Genomic DNA, 10,323 nt, shown 5'->3' on the forward strand with positions numbered 1-10,323 from the left:
ACCTCAGATAAGTGAAGCAACTTTCTTCTGAGCCCTTGAAAAGTGATTAATTACACATAAGATGAAAAGCTAATACTATATCTGATGGACAGGCAATGTGGTGTGAGAGATTCGGGCAAGAATCCTAAATGGATGCTCAGTCTGCACCAAATCACACCGCAGTCACTGAGTCACCATGGTAACCATTCTGGCCAAGGAAAGCTGAGAAAAAACAAACACCACTATCCCGAGCTTGTTCCTAATATGTACTAGGAACTAAATAGGATTGACATGATGCACAGTAATTAACCTCAAGTAGTCCTTACAATAAAAATTCCTGACAGCTTCAGTGACATACAAATGTATACATACTCACATACATATATGCTTGCTCACCCTCTCACCACTCCAAATTCCAAGAATTTATTGAGGTTGATTTACTGGTGGGTAAAGAAGTAAATCTCGCCAGGCATGGTGGCTCGTGGCTATAATCCCAGCTACTCAGATGGCTGAGGTAGGAGGATTGCTTGAGGTTAGGAGTGTGAGAGAAGTCTAAACAACATAGCAAAACTCTGTCTCTGAAAAATGTTTTTAAGTTTAGCTGAGCATGGGGGCACACACCTGTAGTCAGTTATTCAGGAGGCTGAGGTGAGAGGATTGCTTGAGCCTGGGAGTTCAAGGCTGCAGTGAGCTATGATTGCACCATTGCACTCCAGCCTGAGCCACACATTGCAACAAAATCATTTCTGACCACACATATAAAGTTGAAAGCTACTAAACTATGTTCTTTTGGTGTGATTTCTGAAGATGACCTGTAGAATTGTCTCTGGAACATTTTCCTCCATAGTTTCAATATATCGCCAATGACTTGTAAAAGCAGATACGGAAATACAGGTAAACACAGGTTAAGGATCAAATACCTTTTCCATCCTAGAGTAAGCTGTGCTTTCAACCAAAAAAATGCCTCACTGATGTTAAACACTTGGTTGCTGATAGTACTGTGAAAATATAGTAATTAGCAATTGTGTTTAACAAACAAAGCCATGTATAGCATCATCAAGAGTATGAAATATTTATGAACAATCTGTCCACAGATGTGCAGTGCCTGTACACTGAACACCACACATCATTGCTGAGAGAATTAAAGACCTAAATAAGTGGAGGACTTACCATGCTCATGGGTCACAAACAATACTGAGAAGATTCAGTATTGTTAAGATGTCAATTCTTCCAAAACTGATCTATAGATTCAGAGCAATTCAAATGGAAATCCTATTAAAAAATTTTTAAAGAAACCGACAGGCTGATTCTAACATTCATATGGACATGTAAAAGACCTAGACTCTATTAGTCTGTTCCCATATTGCTAAAAACAAACACATGAAACTGGGTGATTTATTTTAAAAAAGGGGTTTTCATGGCTTACGGTTCTGCAGGCTATATAGGAACCATAGAGGCATCTGCTTCTGGAGAGGCCTCAGGGAGCTTTAACTCATGGCGAAAGGTAAAGCGGAAGCAGGCGTTTTACATGGCAGGGAAGGTGCTACACACTTGTAAACAACCAGATCTTATGAGAATTCTATTATGAGAACAGAACCAAAGGGAGAAATCCACTCTCACGATCCAATCACCTCCCACCAGTCCTCATATCCAACATTGGGGATTACAATTTGACATGAGATTTGGGTAGGGACACAGTTCCAAACCATATCAACTATGAAGTACAACTTTGATAAAGAACAAAATTAGAAGACAAACACTACCTGATTTCAAGACTCCTTACAAACATACAGTAATCCAGACAGTGTGCTATTGGCATCAAGATGGATTAGTAGATCAAAGGAACAGAATAAAGAGTCCAGCTATAGACCCACAAGTATATGGACAACTGAGTTTGACAAAGATGCAATGGTGATTCAGTGGAGAAAGGATTATTGTTTCAACAAATGGTGCTGGGACAAGTGAATATTGACATGCACAAATATAAACTGTGACTCAGATATCACACTATATACAAAAGTCTATTCAAAATGGACCTGAGATCTAAATATAAAATTTGATGCTATAAAACTTCTAGCAGAAAAAAAAAAAACAGGAGAAAATCTTTTTGACAATGGGTCAGGTGAAGATTTCATAGATGAGACAACAAAACCACAATCTATAAGCAAAGAAATTGAAAAATTGGACTTCCTCAAAGTTAAAAACTTTAGCTTTCCAACTACATGGTTGAAAAAATAGACAAGTAAGCTGCTGACCGGGGTAAAATGTTTGAAAATTATATATTTAATAAAGGACTTGTATCCAGAATATGTTTAAAATCTTAGTAAGAAGAAAACACACACCAGTAAAGAAACAGGCAAAATATTTGAATAGACATTCCACTAAAGAAGACATACAAATATCATGTAAGCACAGGAAATGATGCTCAGCATCACTCGTTATAAGGGAAATGTAAATGAAAATTTCAATGAGATCCTACTAAACTCCTGTGAGAATTAAAAAAATTAAAAAGACAGATTATACCAAGCTCTGTCGAGGTTGTGGAGGATGAAACAGTGATACATTACTGGTGGTAATGAAAAATGGTACAAACACTTGGAAACAGGCAGTTTCTTACAATGTTAATCTTACATCTACCACATGATCCAGCCATTGCACTCCTAAGTATTTATTAGAGAAAGAAAGCCTATTTCCATGGAAAGACTTATTCACAAATATTCATAGAAGCTTTGTTTACAAGAGATCCTAATTGGAAATAATTAAAATATCCAACAACAGGTGAATGGATAAAAAATTTATGATATAGCCATATACTGGAATACTATTCAGCAATAAAAAAGAATGAACTATTGATATGTGCAACAAAATGGATACATCTAAAAATAAATTGGGTGAATGAAAGAAGCCAAACCAAAAATCAAAAACAAACGCAGAAAAACATTTCTACAATTCCATTTAAATAAATGTCTAGGACATAAAACTTAATCTATAGTGACAAAGTATTGTGTTTGTCTGGGGACAGGGCAATAGGAGGGATAGAGAGTCCTAGTAGTACAGAACTGAAAATCTTATGTTCTGGGAAACAATGATAATAATATTTAGGCCTAGCTGGTTATTTTAGGGGACATGACTGGGTATCATTATAATAGAGCAAATTATATGGAAATTATTATTTTTCAAAATATTGAACTTTTGTATCTGACATTTTGACAGTTTTAACTAATACTTTGTACATTTTTGCCTTCTTAAAAAATGTATTACAGAATGGATAATAACATGGTTACCATTGAAAAATGCATATTACAATCTCCAGTTGCTTGGAAGACCTTCTGACCAACTGTGTATTTCAATGCCCATCTGAGAGATACATGGGAATCACTGATCATTATTTATACAGGCAGAAAACATATGTAAATTTATTTCAAATACATGTTAAACATCAAGTTGATTCCCCAAATGAATTATTCATTGCTTTGTAACAACGAAAGGCATTTTAAACATGGGCCTCAAGGGCGGCTTCAAAGCACATAGCTGCTGATGAAAGGAAATTCCACATGCTAAACCTCTTCTCCAAAGATGGGATCAAAGGAGTTTCTCTGCTTTTAGACTATATTATAAACCTCACAGAGGTATTCCACAACATGCTTCTGTCCAGATCTATGAGCTCACTTGAGCCAGGCATCATATCCCACCAGGGATGGAAGTGTTGGGGGTCTCCTTAGGACTGCTGCCCTTCAAATCTGAAGTAGAAGCTTCAGCAGCCATCACGACCCAGATCCTCAAAGCCCATCTCCTTCATACACCTGTTATGAGTTCAATAACCTGATGAAGATCTGCACAGGGACAGAGAGAATCCAGCAATCACTGTGCTTTCTTAGAGTAACAGTGTGCCAGGAACCATCTTAGGCACTGGGTCAGTGACCAGTGACACTGATACAATTGGGTAGTGATCATTACAACCAGAAGATACAATGGGTTTCTCACCAGGGCCTTTTTCTCCTCCTTTCCTCCTCTATCTCCTAACAACAAATCTGTAAAGGACTAAGAAGAGGCCTGAATTCACACAGGCATTCCTGATCGTGCAGTAACCACAGGGCTATGGGCTTGCACCTGTGTTATCACTGCAGCTTGCAGCAATCCTGCGGGTTGGCATAATTATCCCCATTTTACAGAGGGGGACACTGGGCTCAGAGAGTCCTTACTTGTCTCATCCTCCCACGTCCCACCTTTACATAGAAAGTAGCTCCAGGACACCAGGAGCAGGACACCCCACTCACTGGGGCCAGGAGGGTCCTAGCTCTCTCCCTCATGAAACAGTGAGAGCAACTTGTTTCAAACTGGGAGTGAGGGGACTTAGATCTGGGATCCCTTCGTCTCCCCACATCCCAAGGCACTTCAGCCCCCACTGTGGGGCACTCACACCCTCAGTTGAGTCCCAAACACCTGAAGGCGGGACCCTGCTATTCTCACCAGCCCACAGGGGTCTCTATTAAAAGTCATCAAGGTCACAGTAATGACTTCTGGTTTCTATGGCAACCGTGGTGCTCAGGCTTGTCCTCCACATCAGAAATGCTTCTGCACAGCCCTCTGTCCCCTTGCCTTTCTCAAATAAATAAATAAATAAATAAATAAATAAATAAATAAATAAATAAATAAATAAAAACTTCACTCTTCCACTCTTCAGGCTACCTCCTGAGAAAGCTTACTAATTAGTGGAACTAGCCTCAGACAAGGGTGATTTGTGGAATTCTGCCCAGCTTGGTGAAACAAAGCATCTCCCCATTGGCAGGAATATTGTCTGCTTTAAAAGTGACAGTAGTTGAGTATCATCACTACACAGAGCTGCAGGGAGGTATCCTAGGGGCTCCTGGTGATGAGCTAACCTTCTGAGGATGATGTGTAAAACTTACACAACACACTAAGCAGTTAGCTATCTGTGGCAGAAGACTAAGAGACTGTCTATAATCATGTGTGTAAATGATGTAGGAACACCAAGAAATGTCATTTAAGATATCTCAGTTATTTCAGGGAGGCAGGCCTATAATAATGTAATCATTTAGTAGGCAGAAATCTAGTCAATTGAAACATACATTGGCTCATTTTGGGGAATTCTTATCCACCATTCTTAATATTTTCTTCCATGTGGAGAGACATCGATACCCAAAACACTTCTAGCCTCTTGATACGCTCACTCCTCTATCGCAGGAATGTCTCATCTAGTTGGTGGGTTTGGAAGGAGAAACAGGTTGCACAGCCCAGGTCCTCTCCCTTCAAAACTCTTGGTTGTAATCTTCACTTAACCAAGCATATGTTCTGCTCTGCCCTCAGGGGTGGGGCTTACAATAGGTCCACAGCTCTACTCTCCTGTGTCTCGCTGGCTCCCCAACTATTCCTATAGTCTTGCTTCACAATGCTTGGATCTTTAAGGGGCCCCCAAAAATGCCCTCCAGTTCCAAGTCTGAGTTGTATACCAACTGAGAAATACCACAAAAGAATAAGAAGAACAATAAATTGACTTTATTCCTTATAAAGGTGATACTGGAGAATGTGACATAGATTTGGTGGCACATGGGTTTCCTATGAACAAACCCCAGAATTGGACAGACTTATCCAGTGATACATTGGGACCATCACAAAAAAACAAGGCCTGCATTGCATATCTATCTGCTGTCTGCTGAAGGAGCCCTGTCTATGTGTGCCCAAGGAAAGTGACTTCCTTGTTAAGGGCTATCCCTGTAGCAGGAGAAAATATTTCAGGATACCTTCTTAGAGAAACACTTCTCAAAGTGAATAAATATACCTTGTACTCCTTGCATACTCACCAAGCAACCTGCAGAAGATACAGCTTTCCATATGGCTCAGGGAGCAGTTTATATCAACATTCTCTCAATTTCTTAACACAAGTGATTGCATCAGAGGCTTATCCTATAGAGAGAGATTGGAATTATGTTCTAAATTGCAAGAATAGATAGAAAAGCATATTTTATGAAAACTTCCCTTGAAAATCCCATCAAGAAGGAATTAATGGGATGTTCAGAAATATATACCCACACATAAACTAACACGTAGACTATAGTGAAAATTATAACAAAGCCCCCTGCCAAGCCTTCACAATCTGTGATCTGAGAACAGATCACAGAAAATGAAGAAAAGGTCACCAAAACCATAATGTTTTAGATAACCACTTGTGCTTAACAAAATGTCCCCAAACAATAGCTATTTATTATCTCTCGGGATTCTATGAATTGACTGGGCTTTGCTGGGTGTTTTCTATTCTGTGTGGTGTCTGTCACCTGGGGCTGCAGTCATCAGCACGCTACACTTGCCTGGGACATCCAAGAGAGCTCACTCACATGGATAGCGAATGGTGCTGGCATCTGCTGGGAGCTCAGCTGGGACTGTTGCATGAAGCACCTTGGTTCAACACAGAGCCCTCTGTGAGTAGGGCTGTCAGAAAAAACAGAATACACTCAGTCAAATTTGAATTCCAGATAAACAATGAATAATTTTTTAGTGTAAATGTGATGGTGACTTTATGTGTCAACTTGGCTGGGCCACATTGTTCAAGTATCTCAACATTATTCTGCACATTCCTGCAAGGGTGTTTTTGGATAAGATCAACATTTAAATTGGTGGACTTTGGGAAAAGCAGATTGCCCTCTATAATGTGGGTGGGCCTCATCCAATCAGATGGAGGCCTGAATAGAGCAAAAATCTTAGCTCTTCTAAGCAAAAAAAAAATTCTACTAGCGGATAGCCTTCAGACTTGAACTGTAACACTGGATATTCTCTAGTCTCCAGTCTGCCAGCCCACTCTGCAGATTTTGGACTTTCAGCCTCCATAGTCATGTGAGCCAGTTCTTGAAAATTAATCTCTCTCTCACCATATACGTGTGTGTGTGTGTGTGTGTGTGTGTGTGTATACACATTAGATTGGTTCTGTTTCTCTGGATGTGACATGCAATTTTTTATTTGAATACAACTGGGCATTTTGTATTTTTATTTGCTAAATCTGGAAACCTTAGGAGAAGAGCCTCTAAATATGTAAGTTTAGTGACCATCTGAGATGACCTTCCCAATAAGTCAGGGCAGGTCATGGGACAATGAGCAGATCAGATTAAAAAAAAAAAAAGACAAAAGCTGGTAATACCTAGTGTTGGTGAAATAAAGGAGAAACAGACTTTCATATACACTATTGGTGCCACATCGAGGTATCCATTTTCTGAGGCCCATATTATTACAGCCGAATGACTTGAATGGCCTTTGTACAGAAGTCCTATTTCTACCAACAAGGGGGTTTCAGCTGAGGGTTTAGAAAAGGCTCATCAAGGCGACTCTGATGTGCATGCTGGTTAAGGGGCCCTGGTCGCAGGGGCAGGTCAAATTGACATATGAATTTCCTGCTCCAAAGAGGAAAGATAGCTTCTACTCATGGAGCAGAGTGTTTAGAGGGGCCCAGCTCCAGGTTCTTTATGTTAGTGTCTGGATTAGATCTCATGACAGCCCTGCTAGTGAGGTACCAGTATCCTCTCTTCTTCACGGATGTCTGTGACTACAAAGCACATGCTCCTAACCACAGAGCTGGATGGCAAAGAGGTTGCTCAGCAGGTCCACTACCAGAACTTGCCAGCCTAGGCACCTTGAGTTGCTGGTGGCAGATCTTTAGCATCAGGACATATATTGTTAAGGAGCTTAATATCTGTTCTCCTTGTGTTTACCCTCTGTATTAGTCCGTTTTCACACTGCTATGAAGAACTTCCCTGAGACTAGGTAATTTAAAGGAAAGAGGTTTAATTAACTCACAGTTACACATGGCTGGGTGGGCGTGTGTGGGGGAGCTCAGGAAACTTACAATCATGGAGATATGTGAAGGAGAAGCAAGTACCTTCTTCACAAGGCGGCAAGAAAAGATAGAGTGTGAAGAGGAAAGTGCCAAACACTTATAAAACCATCAGCTCTTGTGAGAACTCACTCACTATCATGAGAACAGCATGGGGGAACCACTCCCATGATCCAATCACCTCCCACCACATTCCTCCCTCAACACCTGGGGATTACAATTCAAGATGAGACTTGGGTGGGGACCCAAAGCCAAACCATATCACCCTCCCTGCATTTCCAGAACAACAACAAAAAAAAGACTTGGGCCTCTTTCCCCCTGTCTCAGGGAAGGTTTATAGCAGGGCTAGAAGCAGAAGCTGTCTGAAGCCAGTGTTTGCTTCATCCTGTGTGAAAACTTAAACTTAAGGAAAGGATTGGACTGCTTGTACTTGGCAGGGAGGGGAAGGGTCCTGAGGACACAGAGAAGGGAGAAGAAGAGAGATTTCTCCAATGCAGGGATGAGGTCAGAGGTCTACAGGTCCCTCCAGGAGTAGGGACCTGAGCATTGCTCCATGTCAATGCGGAGAAGCTCCGTATATGGTTCATCAAGGCTGGGCATTCAGCCATGAGACAGATTCTCCTGTTTGGTTGGAAGGATAGATAGCTCAGGGTCAGGAATGGGGCTGGGGCTGAAGGTAACAAACCAGCTAGGGAAATGGTCAGCTCAGCCCTCAGCAGTAGGGACACATGAGTGATAATGACAGGGGCCTCCCAGGCTGTATCTGGAGGATATGTTTCCACAAATGATTATTTTTGGTCAAAGAGCATGACTATTTTTAGTATATACTGTCTAGTTGAAAGTTAAAATCTCTTTACTAATGAATATCCCAACCAACTACAAGATGAGAGCACCTGTTTCTCTAGATTTGTGCAATAATGGGTTTCCCAACTTTATTAATATTTGCTACTTTTATATCCTATCACTATAATGTTAAAATACTTTTCATTTTTCTCCATTGATATCCACATAAATGGCATATTTCACATGTGCATTTCTAAACACAAACATAACAGTCCTACTTTATGCCTCAGAATATGTCCTGGAATAATTCTAGAGTTTGATGAGAAAACCTGAAAAGTGAGTTTGTATCTATGCTGTGTCCTGTTTACATTGAAATTGTGGAGTCATAAAAATCCTATACACTGCTGCAGGAGGACAAAACGGTACAGAGTATATTTGCAGATATACTCGGCAACATATATGAGAGAAGCAAGCATAGCCCCATCAACTGCTGCCCTCTCAGGTCTGCACTGCAGAGAGTCTCTGGCACGGGTGCAAGAATGGTCATGGCAGCATGGCCAAAATATCAAAACAGCCCCAAAGTCACCTTATTAGAGACATCTCAGAAACAATATTTTTAGAAGAAAAAATTTCAATAAGTGTTTGCTACGGTTTGGATGTTTGTCTCCTCCAAACCTCATGTTGAAATTTGGTCCCCAGTGTTGGAGGTGGAGCCTAACAGGAAGTGTTTGGGTCATGGGGGTAGATCCTTCATGAAAGTCTTGGTGCCAACCTTGCTGTGATGAGTGAGTGCTTGCTCTATTAGTTCCCACAAGAGCTTGTTGTTGAAAAGAGCCCAGCACCTCCCATCTCTTTCCCCTCTCCTGCCATATGATCTCTGCACAAGCCAGCTCCCCTTGGCCTTCCGTCGTGAGTGGTAGCTTCCTGAGAACCTCATCAGAAGCAGATGCCTAATCTTGAACTTTCCAACCATCAAAATTGTTAGCCACATAACAATTTTATTATGTTTTGTTTTGTTTTTTTTCTTTATAAGTTATGCAGCCTCAGATATTCCTTTTTAACAATACTAAACGGACTAAGATAGTAGTATAAAAATATATAGTTTATTCCATTTACCCATCAGGAGAGCAGTGTGAAGAAAATATGGTGAGTCCCATCTCACAGATTATCAAGCTCTGGCTCACAGAGACTAAGATCCTCTACAGATAAGTGGCAGAATGGCAATGAGGTTCCATCTCTTGCCCCCCACCCCCAGCAGCTTCCCATTTGGAAGATGATAATTTTACACTTCCCCAGTATTGTGCCCTAAGGGTACTCACTCAACAGCCCTTCACGTTGAAGAAAAGGACGGTGGAGATGAAATCCTGCCCTTTGGGCCATGAGGCATAGCTGTGGGATCATATGGATTACCAGGTTTCTGAGGTTAACTGTGGGGTGAAATAAAGAAACATGTGGAACAAGAAAGAACAGCGAAGAGAACAGAAAACAGCAGGCCCTCCAGGGATCACCTCTACCTCTCTCTGTCTTTGCTCCTTTCCCCACCCCATTTGTCCCCTGCTCTTTGTGACAGTATGGGATGTAACAGGAATCCAAGGTACTCTGAGAGACGACCGAAAGATGGGAAGACCCAGACCATGAGAAGGGTGAATCAGGCAGCACAAGTCTTGGAGCCTGTGCCCTGGGTGTTGGCTCACCCACCAGGCACTCCATCTCTACCTGCT

Source organism: Homo sapiens, chromosome X (assembly GCF_000001405.40).
Source record: "Homo sapiens chromosome X, GRCh38.p14 Primary Assembly".
Classification (NCBI taxonomy): domain Eukaryota; kingdom Metazoa; phylum Chordata; class Mammalia; order Primates; family Hominidae; genus Homo; species Homo sapiens.